This window comes from Homo sapiens, chromosome 12 (genome assembly GCF_000001405.40).
Source record: "Homo sapiens chromosome 12, GRCh38.p14 Primary Assembly".
Lineage (NCBI taxonomy): Eukaryota > Metazoa > Chordata > Mammalia > Primates > Hominidae > Homo > Homo sapiens.
The window spans coordinates 20,899,776-20,917,941 of NC_000012.12; the positions used below are offsets into that span (position 1 = coordinate 20,899,776).

General features: G+C 36.8%; 3 protein-coding genes across 4 annotated transcripts in view; all 3 read left to right on the plus strand.

Annotated features, from left to right (window-relative positions):
* Positions 1-17,136, plus strand: part of SLCO1B3 (solute carrier organic anion transporter family member 1B3) — a 106,207-nt gene extending 89,071 nt beyond the window's left edge. For both annotated transcript variants that reach the window (NM_019844.4, NM_001349920.2), the window contains 2 exons: positions 1,575-1,692; positions 16,229-17,136. In NM_019844.4, coding sequence (NP_062818.1) covers positions 1,575-1,692; positions 16,229-16,472 — 362 coding nt within the window. In that variant the 3' untranslated portion in view covers positions 16,473-17,136. The remainder of the gene's footprint in view (positions 1-1,574; positions 1,693-16,228) is intronic.
* The window catches only part of SLCO1B3-SLCO1B7 (SLCO1B3-SLCO1B7 readthrough), a 275,549-nt gene that overhangs the window by 84,102 nt on the left and 173,281 nt on the right, over positions 1-18,166 (plus strand). The window contains exon 13 of the mRNA NM_001371097.1: positions 1,575-1,692. Coding sequence (NP_001358026.1) covers positions 1,575-1,692 — 118 coding nt within the window. The remainder of the gene's footprint in view (positions 1-1,574; positions 1,693-18,166) is intronic.
* Positions 1,630-18,166, plus strand: part of LOC124902894 (putative solute carrier organic anion transporter family member 1B7) — a 150,851-nt gene continuing 134,314 nt past the window's right edge. Inside the window, exon 1 of the mRNA XM_047429949.1 lies at positions 1,630-1,692. The gene's annotated coding sequence lies outside the window, so the exon portion shown is untranslated. The remainder of the gene's footprint in view (positions 1,693-18,166) is intronic.

Consider the following 18,166-nt stretch of genomic DNA (forward strand, 5'->3'; position numbering starts at 1 on the left):
TGTTTAAGCAACATAAAATAGAAAAAAATTGAATTTTGCCATTCTAATTGTGAACATCCAATTTTGTTATGTCCAATATATGGCACAATGGACCCTAAATGCTTCTGTGGGAAACATCCACACTTGGTAGCAAACTTCCAATTCATGAACAATTGTCTTAAATATGATATATGTGTAAATGGTAGAAGACCTATATAGTGTATTAAACTAAAAGAGGTATTTAGAAAATAGGTTATCAGAAGATTTACAATTCTAATAAGACAAAGTTTGTTACTTAAAACATTTACTTCACAACGTTTGTTTAAACCAGTGGCATAACGTGAAGAAAATAAATTGTTGGCATCTATTTTTTTTTATTTTTCTAAGGGTCGCTGTGATTTTTTGAAATCTGCAAATTTCTCACCCATTATCTCAGTACCAGTTTGCTTCAGATGCATTGGCCTCAGACAACATTCCCTTGTGAATCTACTATTTCTCAGTCTCAGAAAATTGAGAATGATTAAAAGTAAAATGAATCGGTAAAACATTCATGTATAAATCACTGTCATTTTTTGTGACAAAATAAAATCTGAAAAGTATGAATCACAAAACAGAACAAGAACAAAGTAAAATCTTGTATGCTTCAGTTCTGCCATCTGAATGATAGCTCTCTACTATGATGTCCCTCAAAATTTTGAACAAATTACCTATTCTTAAAACTAGGAGTTAATCTCAGAATTTATACTTCTCCTATAAACAACATATGTATCCCTGGAATGCCTCACAGTCATCGAAATCAGGCACTACAAATAAAAATTGACTTTGGGACAGACCACTGAAAATATATGCACCATTGTGCACTAACAGACCACTAACAGAAACAAAATTTAGCAACGGAGACCCTAACCTGCAGCCCAGGTTGCTTTAGGAGGTATTAAAAAGTGCATGAAATCAATGGAGAGAAAATGCTGAATTGTGGGCTCTGATGGCACTAAGAAAGAGAGAATTGGGCTCTGAGCCTAGAAGGAAGTAAAACTGGCCAATAGCTCGGAGCACCCCGTGAAGCTGGGCCTGAACTTCTCTGGGGAGGGAATCCTGGTGTAAGCATTTACTTTTTAATTATCTTAAAATAGTATTAAAATCTCCTGCCTTTACAGCAGTTTAGATGAGAGCTTTTCCTTTTCTCAAGAAGTTATAATTTAACTGTCAGTAATCCAGCCATTCTTGCCTAAGAAAAATTCCATATGAACCAACATAACTTTCATGTTTTACTAACAACATTCCCCTTTTTACCAATCAGACTTAAGTTAATAGGTATTGTAGGAAGAACAGAGTATATAGGCATATAATACTCTTTCTTCCCTCTGTATATAGGGAGAGAAGAGTAGATCAAATACATCTGTGACATTACCATATGATTTAAGCCTTTGCGATTTCTAATAATTTTGATTCCTGGGTGGATGTAAGCCAAACCAATGGAATAATTTTCCAAAACTTTAAACTTGTATTAATCCAAAATGTATCAATATCGACTATCGCTCAGTTACATTTGAAGCATTTCACTTGGATTGATATCTTTTTATCTCATGTTGCAGGAGGAATTCTAGCTCCAATATATTTTGGGGCTCTGATTGATAAAACATGTATGAAGTGGTCCACCAACAGCTGTGGAGCACAAGGGGCTTGTAGGATATATAATTCCGTATTTTTTGGGTAAGTTGTCGTAAACACATTTCATTAATAGATTTTTTCTTTGTCTATGTTAATGTCTAAGATATAGCATTTTTAGTGTGATCGTAATATTAATGATAGCTACCATTTAGTGAACAATTACTTTGTATTCACTATTGTATCAAGCATTCTGGTATCTCATTTTAATACTCATAGAAACTGTAGGAAATGTATATATTCCTCCTTTTTCCTTAAATATGAAGAAAACAAGATTGAAGAATAATGAGTAACTTGTCAAAAATTGCACAACTAAAAGAAATACAGCTAGGATTTGTACTTGAATCTCTTTTGATTACAAAGCTCTCTCCCACTGGCTTCTCCAGGAAGACACAGAATGACCAGCTGCAGCTCTGGTTATATGGTAATTGAGGAAAGAAATGGAAAAACAAAGTTTCATTACTCTTCTATTCATAGGCAGAAGTATCCTGCAAGTGACATTAAGACAACTAGATTATCTGGAAGAAACAAAAAGCTGCTGCAATTGTACCTTACCTCTTATAGAAGCATTAATTTGTAATTTATATATTGATCAATATATAAATTTGATTTCTGAAACTATAAGTATTAGAACTACTCATAGTAGAATTTCTTTTAATTATCTAGGAAGAATAAATGTGTTTGTAAGTATGACCCAAATGCCTGAAAGTATAATAGAAAAATAATGGTGAAAGGATTTATATTGCTTTGTGTATATACCCAATAATAGGACTGATGGGTTGAATGGTAATTCTGTTTTATGTTCTTTGAGAAATCGTCAGACTGCTTTCTACAATGACAGAACTTATTTACATTCCCACTAGTAGTGTATAAGCGTTCCCTTTTCTCCACTATGTCTTCAGTATCTGTTATTTTTTGACCCACTAAAAATAGCCATTCTGACTTGTGTGGGATGGTATCTGATTGTAGTTTTGGTTTGTAGTTCTCTAATAATTAGTGATGTTGAATCCTAATTGAACTAATGCATGAACAGAAAACCAAATATCACGTGTTCTCCCTTGTAAGTGGGAGCTAAACATTAAGTACATATGGACACAAAGAAGGGAACAATAGACACTGGAGCCTACTTGTGGGTGCAGAGTGAGAGGAGGGTGAAGAAACAAAACTACCTGTAAGTGACTATGCTTATTTAAAAAGAGAAAGAGAACAAGAACAGATAATAAAATATTTTAAAAACTGCATTACACAAGGTATTGTAAGCAAAGTTCAACAGCAAGGGGTAAATTAGAAGAATTTATAATTCAGAGATAGACACAACCAAATGTCCTATGTATATAAGGATCTCTTAAAAATCTCCAAAAACAGGCCGGATGCAGTGGCTCACAACTGTAATCCTAGCACTTTGGGAGGCTGAGGCAGGCAGATCACTTGAGACCAGGAGTTCGAGACCAGCCTGACAATCATGGTGAAACCTTATCTCTAGTAAAAATACAAAAAAAAATTAGCCAGGCATTGTGGTACATGCCTGTAATCTTAGTTACTTCAGAGGCTGAGGTGGGACAACTGCTTGAACCTGGGAGGTGGAGGTGGCAGTGAGCTGAGATCACCAACTGCACACTCCAGCCTGGGCGACAGAGCAGGATTCCATCTCAAAAAAAAAAAAAAATCAATGCAAACATCAAATGCTAGCAAGAATGGGAAACAACAGGAATTTCCTGTCATTGCTGGAGGTGATGTAAAATGGTACTGGAGTGTTGGAAGACAGAGTGAAATTTTCTTACAAAGCAAATAGAGTTATTGTACGATTAAGCCATCATGTTCCCAGGTATTTACATAAATTAGTTGGAGACATGTCCACAAAAAAACCTGTACTTGAATATAAAAAAGTGGAAGCATTGAAGATGTCCTTCGGTAGGTAAATGGATAAGTAAACTATGTTACATTCATATAGTGGAATATTAGTAATCAATGTATTAGTCTATTCTCACACTGCTATGAAGAGCTACCTGAGACTGGGTAATTCATGAAGAAAAGAGGTTTAATTAACTCCCAGTTCCACAGGCTTAACAAGAAGCATGACTTGGAGGCCTCAGAAAACTCACAATCATGGCAGAAGCCTAAAAGGAAGCAAGGCATGTCTTCTCCTAGTGACAGGAGAGAGAGAGGGAGAGAGCAAAGGGGGAAGTGCCACACACTTCTAAACCACCAGACCTCATGAGAACTCACTCACTATCTTGAGAACAGAAAGGGAGAAATCCACCCCCAAGATCCAGTCACCTCCCACCAGGTTCCTTCTCCAATTCAACATGAAATTTGGGCAGAGACACAAACCCAAACCATATCTTTCAATCCCTGGTCGTTCCCAAATCTCCTGTTCTTCTCATATTGCAAAATACAGTTACCCTTCTCAACAGTCCCCGTGTCTTAACTCATTTCAGCATTAACTCAAAAGCCCACAGTCCAAAGTCTCTTCTGAGACAAGGTAAGTCCCTTCCACCTATGAGCCTATTAAATTTTAAAAAGTTAGTTACTTCTGGCCAGGCGCGGTGGCTCATGCCTGTAATCCCAGCACTTTGGGAGGCCAAGGTGGGTGGATCACGAGGTCAGGAGATTGAGACCATCCTGGTTAACACGGTGAAACCTCATCTTTACTAAAAATACCAAAAAATTAGCCAGGCATTGTAGTGGGTGCCTGTAGTCCCAGCTACTTGGGAGGCTGAGGCAGGAGAATGGCATGAACCCAGGAGGTGGAGCTTGCAGTGGGCCGAGATCACACCACTACACTGCAGCCTGGGCAACAGAGCGAGACTCTGTCTAAAAAAAAAAAAAATTAGTTACTTCCAAGATACAATGGGGGTACAGGCATTTGGTAAATACTCTTATTCCAAATGGGAGAAATTGGCCAAAACAAAGGGGTTACAAGCCCCATGCAAGTTCAGAACCCAACAGGGCAGTCATTAAATCTTAAAGCTCCAAAATGATCTCCTTTGACTCCATGTCACACATCTAGGGCACAATGATGCAAGAGATTTGTGCCCAAGGCTTTGGGCAGCTCCACTCCTGTGGCTCTGCAGGTACAGTCCCCATGGCTGCTTTCATGGGCTGGTACTGAGTGCCTGCAGCTTTTCCAGGCACACAGTGCAAGCTGTTGGTAGATCTACCATTCTGGAGTCTGGAGGACAGTGGCCCTCTTCTTATAGCTCCACTAGGTAGTGCCTCAATGGGAACTCTGTGTGGGAAGTCCAACCCCACATTTTCTCTCTGTACTGCCCTAGTATAGGTTTTTCATGAGGGCTCCACCCCTGCAGCAGACTTCTGCCTGGACATCCAGGCTTTTTTTTTTTTTTTTTTTTTTTTTTTTTTTTTCTTGAGACAGTGTCTTGCTCTGATGCCCAGGCTGGAGTGCAGTGGCATGATCTCAGCTTCCCGTAACCACCGCCTCCTGGGTTCAATCAATTCTTGTGCCTCAGCTTCCTGAGTAGGTGGGACCACAGGCATGCACCACCATACCTGACTACTTTTCATGTCTTTAGTAGAGATGGGGTCTTGCCATGTTGGCCAGGCTGGTCATCCAGGCATTTTGATACATACTAGGAATAGGTCCCAAACCTCAACTCTTGCTTTCTGCCCACTCATAAGCCCAACACCATGTGAAAGGCACCAAAGCTTGGGGCTTGCACCCTCTGAAGTCATGGCCCAAGCTGTACCTTGACTCCCCTTAGCCATGGCTGGAGCTGGAGTCAGTGGGAAATAAGGTGTCATCTCCCAAGGTTGCACAGGGCAGCAGGGCCCTGGGCCTGACCCACAAAACCATTTAACCCTCCTAGGCCTCCAGGCTGGTGATAGGAGGGGCCTCCATTAAGGTCTCTAAAATGTCCTAGAGATATTTTCCCCACTGTCTTGGCTATTAACATTTGGATCCTCTTTACTTATGCAAATTTCTACAGCAGGCTTGATTTTATTCTCAGAAAATGAGTTTTTCTTTTCTACCACGTGGCTGGGTTGCATATTTTCCAAACATTTAAATGTAAGTTCCAGTTTCAGATAATCTCTTTGTTCACACATATGAGTAAACACTTTTAGAAACAGCCAGGTCACATCTTGAATGCTTTGCTGCTTAGAAATTTCTTCCACTAGATACCCTAAATCATCTCTCTCAAGTTGAAAGTTCCACAGATCTCTAGAGCAGGGACAAAATGCCACCAGTCTCTAAGCTAAAGCATGGCAAGAGTGACCTTTACTCCAGTTCCCCATAAGTTCCTCATCTCCATCTGAGACAATCCTGAACTTCATTGTCCATATCACTAGCAGCATTTTGGTCAAAACCATTCAACAGTCTCTAGGAAGTTTCAATCTTTCCCACATCTTCTGTCTCCTTCTGAGCACTCCTAACTGTTTCAACCTCTGCTCGTTACTCAGTTCCAAAGTTGTTTCCACATTTTCACATATCCTTATAGCAGTGTCCCACTCCCAGTACCAATATTCTCTATTAGTCTGCCTCAGAAAACTTACAGTCATGGTGGAAGGGGGAAGCAAGTCATGTCTTCTCATTACAACAGGAGAGAGAAAGTGTAAAAAGGGAAGGACTACACACTTCTAAACCATCAGATCTGGTGAGAACTCACTATCATGAGAAAAGCAAGTGGGAAATCCACCCCCATGATCCAATCACCTCCCACCAGGCCCCTTCTCCAATATAACATGGGATTTGGGCAGGGACAGAAATCCAAACTATATCAATCAATAAAAAGAAATGAGCTATCAGCCTACAAAAAGAAAAAAATGAAACTTAAACTCATATAGCTAAATAAAAGAAGGCAGTCCAAAAAAGCTTCAGATTGTATAATTTTAACTGCGTGATCTTGTAGAAAAAGCAAAACAATGGGCAACAAAATCAGTAGTTTCTTGGGGCTCAGTGTGGAGAAGGCTGGAATGAGTAGGCCTAGCACAAGGAATTTTTAGGGCAGTGAAACTATTCTATATGATATTGTAATATTGGATCATGACATTATGCATTTGCCAAACCTATAGAACTTTACAACATAAAAAGTGAACTCTAATGTAAAATATGCATTTAATAATGTATCAATATTCCTTCATCAGTTTTAACAAATGTGCTATACTAATACAAGATATTAATGATAGGAGAAACTGTGTACCTGTTGGGCAGGGAGATCTCCATACAGTTTTCTGGTAAAACTAAAATTGCTATAAAATATAAAGACAAAAAAATCACGAAACATTTTTCAAAGAAGAAGTCACTAATGGTTATGAAACATATAAAAAGATTGCAGCTCTGTTATTATCAATTGTGTTATAATTGTAGTTCTGTTATTATCAATGAATAAGAACATGAACATCATCTTGATAATAAAAGAATTATAATTAAAAATCACCCAGATTGTCAACAATCAAAAATGTTGCTTGAAGACTGTGTTGGCAAAGTATATAACTTTGAGCCAACAGCAATACTTCTAGGAATTTATCCTAAAGATATCTATACTCCCAAAATACTGAAAACAAAGTAAGAACCAATCAAGAAGATATCAATTAAATTAATAATGTGCATGCAGGCAAATGAATATTCTGAGTTCTTAAAAAAAGGAAAAATCTTTTTACTTACTAATATGGAAGGCTATTCACAATATATTGGTATATTCACATATATATTATGTGAAAAAAGGAAGCATTACATGAAAAATGTGTGCGGAATATGCTATTATTTATGTAAGGTGGGGAATATTTCTTAGTTCAGGTTAGATCTCTGGTGAAAACTCCCTGGATCTAATTTACTAAAAGAACTTTCTTCTACCTGATGTGTAAATTCACTGTCTAACATCCCCAACAAGTAATGATCCAGATTTTTCTGGAATTACAGTAAAGCAGCATTCAGCAGCCCACAGACATTCTCTTAAATTTAAAATAATTATAGAAAATCTTTCCCTAAATGGGAGATTTCTTTCCTCCCTCCCTCCCCTTCCTTCTTTCCTTCCTTCCCTTCCTTTCTTCCTCCCCCTTCCCTTCCCCTTCCTTCCCCTCCCTTCCCCTTCCCCTTCCCCTTCCTCTTCTCCTCCCTTCCCTTCCCTTCCTTTTTTTTTTTTTTTGAGACGCAGCCCCACTCTGTCATCCAGGCTGGAGTGCAGTAGCGAAATCTCGGCTCACTGCAACCTCCGACTCCTGGGTTCAAGCAATTCTCTTGCCTCAGCCTCCTGAGCAGCTGGGATTACAGGCGCCCGCCATTACGGCAGGCTAATTTTTTTGTATCTCTACTAGATACGGTTTCGCCATGTTGGCCAGGCTAGTCTCAAACTCCTGACCTCAGGTGGCCCGCCCACCTCAGTCTCCCAATGTGCTGGGATTACAGGAGTGAGCCACTGCTCCCGGCTGGGAGATTTCATTTCTATTTATAAAAGTATGGAAAAAAATAACAAAGAAAAACTTAATAAATTTACTTTAAGAAAATATTTATTTTAATTGAAATCATAATTCATTTTAAGGACAACTGGCAAGATGCTCCCCAGAATCTCCCCGAAGCAATAATCACCAAGTCCAAGCATTAGCATAACATTTTGAAATGGTGATACTTTAGTTATGTTAGTTTCAGTATGAAAAGGCCACTAAAACATTGTTTTAAAAACTGTACTACTTCTTTTTCCTTCAGTAAAGGTTTAGGTAAAAGTAAAAGGAAATGAAAAGTGGAATTTTAAAGTATAATAAAAAAATTTTAAAAAGGGCAGTTCATTTGCCAGTTAATACACTGAAAGTTAAATAATTACCTTATGATTTTTAATAGATTTTATTTTTTAGAATAGTTTCAGAATCACAGTAAAATTGAGGAGAAAGCACAGAGATTTCCCATATCTTGCCTGCTCCCGCATACATGCATAGCCTTCCCCATTATCAACATCTCCCATCAGGATGGTACATTTGTTACAATTGACAAACCAGATTGACACATCTTTATCACTCAGGATCCACAGTTTACATCAGGTTTCACATTTAGTGTTGAACTTTCTGTGGGTTTGGATGAATGTAAAATGATACATAACCACCACTCCACTATCATAAAAAGTAGTCTTGCTGCCCTAAAAATCTTCTGTGCTCTGCCTGTTCATTCATCCTTTCCCAGTAATCCCTGGATCCCTAGAAACCAATAGTCTCTTTACTACTTCCACAATTTTGTCTGCTTCAGATCATATAGTTGGAATTATACATTTTGTAGCCTTTTCAGAGTAGCTTCTTTAACTCAGTAATATGCATTTAAGTTTCCTGTACTTGTTTGTATTGCTTGATGGGTTATTTCTTTTTAGCACTGAACAATAATTGATTGTCTCAATACACCATAGTTTATACATTTGCCTACTGAAGGACATCTTGATTGCTTGCAGGTTTGGGCAATTATAAATAAAAGTTAATAATAAAAGTTATCCATGTGCCAGTTTTTGTATAGATACAGGTCTCAACTTCTTTGTGTCAACACCAAAGTGCAATTACTTGATCATATGATAAAAATATGTATAGTTTTATAAGAAATTGTCAGACTGGCTTCAAAAGTGGCTGTATCATTTTGCATTTTGACCAACAATGAATGAGAGTTTCTATTGCTCCACTTCCTTATCCACATCTAATGTCTAGTGTTCTGGATTTTGGCCATTCTAATAGGTATGTAGTGGTATCTCATTGTTGTTTAAATGTGCATTTGCTTGATTTCCTTGATGACATAAGATGTGAAGCATCTTTTTCTTTTTTTTTTTTTTTTTTGAGACAGAGTATCACTCTGTCGCCCAGGCTGGAGTGCAGTGGCATGATCTCGGCTCACTGCAAGCTACGCCTCCCAGGTTCACGCCATTCTTCCACCTCAGCCTCCCGAGTAGCTGGGACTACAGGCACCCACCACCACGCCTGGCTAATTTTTTTTTTTTTTGTATTTTTAGTAGAGACAGGGTTTCGCCATGTTAGCCAGGATGGTCTTGATCTCCTGACCTTGTGATCCGCCCGCCTTGGCCTCCCAAAGTGCTGGGATTACAGGTGTGAGCCACCACACCCGGTCATGAAGCATCTTCTTATATGTTTATTTGCCACCTCTATATTTTTTGTGGGGAGATATATGTTAAAGTCTTTGGCCTACTTTTTAACTGTTTTTTCTATTGTTGAATTTTGACAGTTCCTAATATTTTTGAAAACAGTTATTGAATATGCCTTTTGAAAATATTTTCTCTCAGTCTGTGGCCTCTGACTCTCATCTTATCCTTTTGACAGTGTCTCTTACTTTCTCAGAGCAGAATTTTTTTGTTTTGTTTTGTTTTGGAAATGGATCTCGCTCTGTTGCCCAAACAGGAGTGCAGTGGCACCTTCTTAGCTCACTGTAGCCTTGCACTCCTAGGCTCAGGGAATCCGCTAACCTTAGCCTCCTATTGATGTGATCATGTGATTATTTTTCTTAGTTAGTCCATTAATATGATGAATTATATAAATGATTTGTGAATGTTGAACCTGTCTTCCAAACCTGGAATATATGCCTGGATAACTGTTTTATTCAGAGGTTTTAAATTGTAATGAAGTCCTCTTTGTCAATAAGTTCTTTCATGGATTGTGCTTTTGCTGTTGCATCTGAAAAGTCATAACCGAATCCTAGGTTGCTTACTCCTGTGTTACGTCCTAGGAGTTTTATAGTTTTGCATTTTACGTTTTGGTTTGTGATTCATTTTGAGTTAATTTTTGTGAAGCCTAAATTCATTATTTTGCATGTGGATATCTAATTGTTCCAGCACCATTTGTTGCAAATACTATATTTTCTCCATTGTAGTACCTTTATGTTTTTCTACAGATCCATTGACTGTATTTAAGTGGGTCTATTTCTGGGCTATTTATTCTTTCCACTTACCTATTCGTATATTATTTTACCAAAGTCACACTGTCTTGGTTGCTGTAGCTTCATAGTAAGTCTTGAGGTCAGGTAGTATCAGTCCTATTATTGTGTTCTTACACTTAAGTATTGTCTTGGCTATTTAGCATCTTTTGCCTCTTCACATAAACTTTAGAATTAGCTTGTCAATATCCACAAAATAACTTATAGAGATTTTGATTGGGCTTGCATTGAATCTGTGTATCAAGTTGGGACAAACTGACATCTTGACAATATTGAGTCTTACGATACTGTACATGAACATGGAATATCACTTCATATTTTAGTGCTTCTTTGATTTCTTTCATCAGAGTTGTATAGTTTTCTGCCTATGCCTTTTGTATATATTTTGCTAAATTTATACCCAATGTTTCATTTTTGGGGGTGTTAACGTAAATAGTAATGTATTTTTAATTTCAAATTCCACTTGTTCATTGCTGATTTATAGGAAAACTTTTCACTTTGGCATATTAATCTTATATCCTGCAAACTTGTTATAACTGCTTATTAGTTCCAGTAGTGTTTTTGTCTATTATTTGAGATTTTCTACATATACATATGCAAACAAAGGTAGTTTTATTCCTTCCTTTCAATCTGTATATATACCATTCCCTTTTGACTTTTTTTTTTAATCACATGGACTTTCTGTGTACCATGTTGAAAATTAATGGTGAAAAGGGACATTCTTGGCTTGTTCCAACCTTATAAGGAAAGCTCTGAGTTCTTCACCATCAAGTAAAAAATGTGTAGAATTTTTGGTGTATATGTTTTTAATCAGGTTGATAAAATTCTCCTCTATTCCTAGTTTAATGAAAGTTTTTGTTCACAAATGGATGTTTGATTTTGTCAAATGCATTTTCTGCATCTATTGATGTGATCATGTGATTTTTTTCTTCTTTAGCATGTTAATATAATAAATTATATAATTGATTTTTGAATGTTGGACCAGTCTTGTAAACCTGAAATACATTCCACTTGGTTGTGGTGCCTAAATTGTTAATGCAATGTCAAATTCAATTAGCTATTTTTGAGAACTTCTGCACCTGTATTTGTGAGATGTATCGCTCTGTAGTTTTCTTTTCTTGTAATGTTTGTCTGCTTTGGGTATTAGGATAATGCTGACCTCATAGGAGACAGGAAGTATTCCTGCTGCTTCTATTCCTCTGTAGGAAATTGTAATGAATTGGTATAAATTCTTACTTAAGTGTTTTATAGAATTCGCCCATGAACCCATCTTGGTTTGGTGTTTTCTGCTTTAGAAGGTTATTATCAATTCATTTCTTTAACAGATATAGATCTATTCAGATAGTCTGTTTCTTCTTGTGTGAATTCAGGTAGATTGTATCTTTCAAGGAATTGGTCCATTTCTTTCAGGTTATTAAAATTGGGGGCATGATGTTGTTTATGGCATTCCCTTTTGATCCTTTTAAGGTCAATGGGGTCTACAGTGATGTTCCATCTTTGATTTCTGATATTAGTAAATCGTGTCCTCCTTTTTATCTAAATTAGCCTGGCAAGGGACTCCAATTTTATTGATTTTTTTCTGAGAAACAGCTTTTGTTTTTGTTGATTTTCTCCCCTCATGTCCCATTTTAAATTTCACTGTGCCCTACTTTTACTATTATCTTCGGATTACTTTGGATTTAATTTGCTCTTCTTTTTCTAGTTTGCTAAGGTAAAAGATTAAATGATTGATTTAAGATATTCTTCATTTATCTCTAATTCTGCTTTCACTGCATCCATAACATTTGATGTTATAATTTTATTTTCACTTATTTCAAAATATTTTTAAATTTCTCATGAAATTTCATCTTGACCCATATGTTTCTTAGAAGTGTATTGCTTAATCTTCACAGATTTTGAGACTTTCCAATGATCTTTCTGTTGTTGACTTCTAGTTTAATTCCCTTGTGGTTTAAGGACAGATATTACATGATTTTCATTCTTTCAAATTTCTTCTATTTTATTTTTATTTTTATTTATTTATTTATTTATTTATTTATTTATTTATTTATTTATTTTGAGACCGTCTTGCTCTGTTACCAAGGCTGGAGTGCAGCAGTACGATGTCACTCACTGCAACCTCTGCTTCCTGGGTTCAAACAATTCTCGTGTCTTGGCCTTCTGAGTAGCGGGGATTACAGGTGTGTGCTATCACACCTGGCTAATTTTTTTTTTTTTTTTTGTATTTTTTCTTTTCTTTTCTTTTTTTTCAGATGGAGTTTCACTGCTGTCGCCCAGGCTGGAGTGCAATGGTGCAATCTCAGTTCACTACAACCTCCACCTCCCAGGTTCAAGTGATTCTCCTACCTCAGCCTCCTGAATAGCTGGGATTACAGGCCTGCACCCCCACACGCAGCTAATTTTTGTATTTTTAGTAGAGATGGGGTTTCACCATGTTGGCCAGGATGGTCTCAATCTCTTGACCTCATGATCCACCCATCTCGGCCTCCCAAAGTGCTGGGATTACAGGTGTGAGCCACTGCGCCCAGCCTTTTTTTTTTTTTTTTGTATTTTTGTAGAGACGGGGTTTCACCATGTTGTTCACCATGTTGATCAGTCTTGTGTCAAATTCTTGACCTCAAGTGATCTGCCTGCCTTGGCCTCCCAAAGTGCTGGGATTACAGGCCTGAGCCACCACGCCTGGCCTTAAATTTCTTAAGATATCTTTTATAGACCAGAATGTGGTCTATCTTGGTGAATATTCTATATGAGCTTGGGAAGACTTTGTAGTCTGTTGCTGTTTGATGTAGTAGGTTACATCTGTTATACTGTTGGTTGATAGTGTTGTTGAGTTCAACTATGTCTGATTGAATTTTGCCTGGTGAATCCGTGCATTTCTGATAGAGGCATGTTGAAGTCTCCAACATAATTGTGGGTTCATTTACATTAAGTATCCACTTAACATTGTCCATAGGTTCTTAGAAACTGATTTTAAGCAAAACAATACACTATGTACCATAGTAACTATTTTTATACCAATTATCTATGGTGAAATTGGTTTCATTATACAATACATAAATTCACTTTTAAAATTATAATTTCCAAGAACCTGTAGACAATGTTAAGTGAAGACTTACTGCATTTCTCTTTGCAGCTCTATCATTTTCTCCTCACATATTTAGACACTCCATTTTTACATGCTTACATGTTAAGTATTGTTCTGTTTTGTAAAAGGATAATAGGATAACTGATTTCTTTGTTATTATGTAAAGACTTTTTTATCCTTCATAAATTTCCTTGCTTTGAAGTCTGCTCTGTTTGAAATTAAAAAATTAAAATAGGTACTCCCATTTTCTTTTGATTAATGTTATCAGTGTATATCTTCCTCAGTCTAATTACTTTTATTCTGTATGTCTTCATATTTAAAGTGAGTTTCTTGTAGACTACATATAGTTTGGTTCTTGGTTTTAATCCTCTAACAATCTTATTGTTATCTTTTGAGATGGGGTCTCACTCTGCTACCCAGGCTGTAGAGCAGTGGCTTGAACATGGCTCACTGTAGCCTCAACCTCCTGGGCTCAAGAGATCCTTCTGCCTCAGCCTCCCATGTAGCTGGGAACACAGGCATGAACTAACATGCCTAGCTAATTTTTTGATTTTTTGTTTGTTTGTTTGTTTTAGAGATGGGCAACTCTGTTGCCCAGTCTGGTCTCAAACTCCTGTACTCACTTGATTCTCCCATCTTGGCCCCCCAGAGTGCTGGGATTACAGGCATGAGCCACCATGCCTGGCTTATTTTGGTCTTTTAATTGGTGTATTTATATCATTGACATTCAAAGTGATTACTGATATAATTGAAAGAATACTGACGATATTTGTTACTATTTTCTATTTGCTCTCCTTGTTCTTTGATCCTATTTTTGTATTCCACTCTCTGTCTTCCCGTTTTGTTTTAATTGAGCATTTTATATAATTTCATTTTCTCTCATTTGTTAGTTTATTAGTTGTACTTTTTAAATAAAAATTTCAGTGATTTTCCTAGAATTTGCAATATACATTTAGAACTAATCCAAGTTTATATTTTAGTAACACTTTATTAGTTCACAGATTATGAGTACCCTTATAATACCAAAATAACCCTAATTCTTCTTTCCTACACATTGTGTCATTGCTGTCATTTACTCCACTTACTGTAAGCATACATACACATATGAATAAGCATGTATATTATATATAATTAAATACATTGTTTCTATTATTATTTTAAAGAAACTGATTTCTATTAAATCAATTTAGAATAATTTTTTTATTTAACCTTAACTGATTTCTTCTCTGATATTCTTCCATCTTTATGTATATCCGAGTTTATGACCTATATCATTTTCCTTCTAACAAACTTCTTTTAAGATTTCTTGCAAGGAGAGTCTACTGGCAAAACAGTCCCTCAATTTTTGTTTGTATGACAGTGTCTTTATTTCGACTTAGCTTTTGAAAGATAATTTCATATGGTACAGAATTTTTAAGTTGGTGTTTTATTTTTCTTAACAGTTAAATATTTCACTTTGCTCTCTTCTTGCTTGCATGGTTTCTGAAGAGAAGGCTGATGTAATCTTTTCTACTCTATAAATAAGGTTTGCTTTTCCTTTTGGTTTCTTTCAGGATGTTTTCTTCATCTTTGATTTTCTATAGCTTGAAAATAACAAACCTATGCATAGTTTTTCTGGCCTTTATCCTTCTTGGTGTTTTTTGAGCTTCCTGGATCTGTGGTTTGGTGTCTGACATTAATTCAATAAAAATTTTCTGTACTTATTATTTGAAATCTTTATTTTGTTCCTTTCATTTTCCCCTTCAAGTATTTTCATTATAAACACTTGTGTAGTCCTTCCAATGTTCTTGGTTATTCTGTTTTTTCTTTCTTTTGTCTTATTTTTCTTTGCTTTTTTTATTGATATAAACTTAGAGATTGTTTCCTCAGCAGTGCTCTATCTAATAATAAATCCATGAAGGCATTTATCATTTCTGTTACAGTTTTCTTATCTGTATTCTTTCATTTTGGTTCTTAGAATTTTTATCTCTTTACTTAAATTGCTAACCTTTCTTACATTCTGTCTACATTATCCATTAGACCACTTGACAAATTAATAATAGTTGTTTTAAATTTCCATCCCTGATATTCCCTGACATATCTGGGTCTGGTTTTAAGTCTTATTCTTTTCAGACTGTGTTTATTGTCTTTTAGTATGTGACTTGCAAATTTTTCTTGACAGCCAGACAAAATGTATTGGGTAAAAGGAATTGCTGTATATAAGCCTTTATTAATGTGGTGTAAGGCGATGAAGACAAAGTAGCATCCTGTAGTTCTATGATAAGGCCTCAATCTTTTAGTGAGCCTGTACCTCTGGACTGTGAACTTCAAACTTGCTTCTCAGTTTCTGTCTCCCACTCCTTAGGTAGAATGAGATGGCTTGAGGGGGCTGGAGTTATGTATTTTCCTCCCTCCCAAAGGAAGGCTAGAGACAGCTGGGGTTTAGTTTCTGTAGCTTCATATGTTTTTTTAATAATAGAAAAATATCTTATGCCCCCAATGAAAATAATAAATAGAATTGTTCTCTTAATATTTGTATGTGTAACTTGTTTTTCTTTCTTTTAAGATATGCATACTGGGGAGAAAAAAATGTAAGATATTTTACACATTTAAAATAATAATCGACTCTCTATTTTCTCTTTTCACAGAAGGGTCTACTTGGGCTTATCTATAGCTTTAAGATTCCCAGCACTTGTTTTATATATTGTTTTCATTTTTGCTATGAAGAAAAAATTTCAAGGAAAAGATACCAAGGCATCGGACAATGAAAGAAAAGTAATGGATGAAGCAAACTTAGAATTCTTAAATAATGGTGAACATTTTGTACCTTCTGCTGGAACAGATAGTAAAACATGTAATTTGGACATGCAAGACAATGCTGCTGCCAACTAACATTGCATTGATTCATTAAGATGTTATTTTTGAGGTGTTCCTGGTCTTTCACTGACAATTCCAACATTCTTTACTTACAGTGGACCAATGGATAAGTCTATGCATCTATAATAAACTATAAAAAATGGGAGTACCCATGGTTAGGATATAGCTATGCCTTTATGGTTAAGATTAGAATATATGATCCATAAAAATTTAAAGTGAGAGGCATGGTTAGTGTGTGATACAATAAAAAGTAATTGTTTGGTAGTTGTAACTGCTAATAAAACCAGTGACTAGAATATAAGGGAGGTAAAAAGGACAAGATAGATTAATAGCCTAAATAAAGAGAAAAGCCTGATGCCTTTAAAAAAAATGAAACACTTTGGATGTATTACTTAGGCCAAAATCTGGCCTGGATTTATGCTATAATATATATTTTCATGTTAAGTTGTATATTTTTCAGAAATTATAAATATTATTAATTTAAAATTTGAATTTGTGTTTGACTAACAACCTCGATGGATCTTCTTCCAACCTCCCATTAAGATCCTGCAGAAGAAATAGAAATATTCAAATATTGCAAGGTGTAATTGTGAGACAACTTATTATAATACGTGTTAAGTTTCTACTGGACCCATGGAAGTGGATTAAGAAAAACCGACTTTAGCTTGAGAAAGCAAAACCCATTGATAAGATGTGTCTTCATTGCATCTGTCTGTTCTCTGGGAGAAGCAAAATCTGTGTTACTTCCTTGCATACTTGTTTGTTTATTCATTGTGCACAAGAAGATATCTTCCACATCTTCACAAGCTGGATAAGAAATAGAGAAAATGAGATCAAATATTTAAATATTGCATTTTCTGGTAGTGATGCAGGATATTTCTTGGCCTCTTCACTGGACTCACAATAGAGGTGCCCTGTTTATTTGGTCTGCCATGCTCAACCCCTTGTGGGAGGGAGAGTGTGAGTGACGTAGTGCAGGACCATGTGGGCTGTCCTGGTCATCGACACAGAAACAAGCTCTGTGAGTTTCTCATGGCCAGACCAGGTGCGAGTGAGTGAATGCTGGACCTGGGCAACCGCTCCAGGCACTGAAACGAGTGAGTTACATGCAGGGCTGGCAGCCAGGCAAGGTGCAAGGGTGCTCAGGATCCTGAAGCCCCAGAGGGGTTGTTATGGTGCTCCTTTAGTTCCACCGTCTACAGTCTAACAGATGGCAGCATGTTAGCAGCTCAGTTGGCCCCTTGTCTCTTTACCTTGGGTGGCTGCCCTCTGCCAGTGAGGGCAAAGGCCAGTGTGACAGATTTTTCTGGGTACCTGCATTCGGTGGGTTCCAGGCCCTTGTCTGGTGTCCAAGAAGAATGAGGTCACATTGACAGTTGAAGGGTGGTGAAGGTGGAGAGTTTTAATGAGTAATGAAAACGACTCTCAGTGGAGAGGGGAGCTGGAGAGGGGATGGGAAGGGCCGGTTGTCTTCCCCGAAGTCCTGCTGTCTCTTCCTCGAATTCAGGCTGTCTCCCCAGTCTACCAGCTGAGTCTGGAGTCTTTATAGGCACAGGATGGGGAGTGTGTGCTGACTGGTTTCTGAGTATGCAAAAAAGGTTAAAGTGAAGGCACCACTCAAAGGTGGGCATGACAGTATAGAAAACCAATTAAGAAAGAGTAGTTATATCTAAAATAGTTGGAGGGTGGGACCAGTCAGAGGAAAGCCT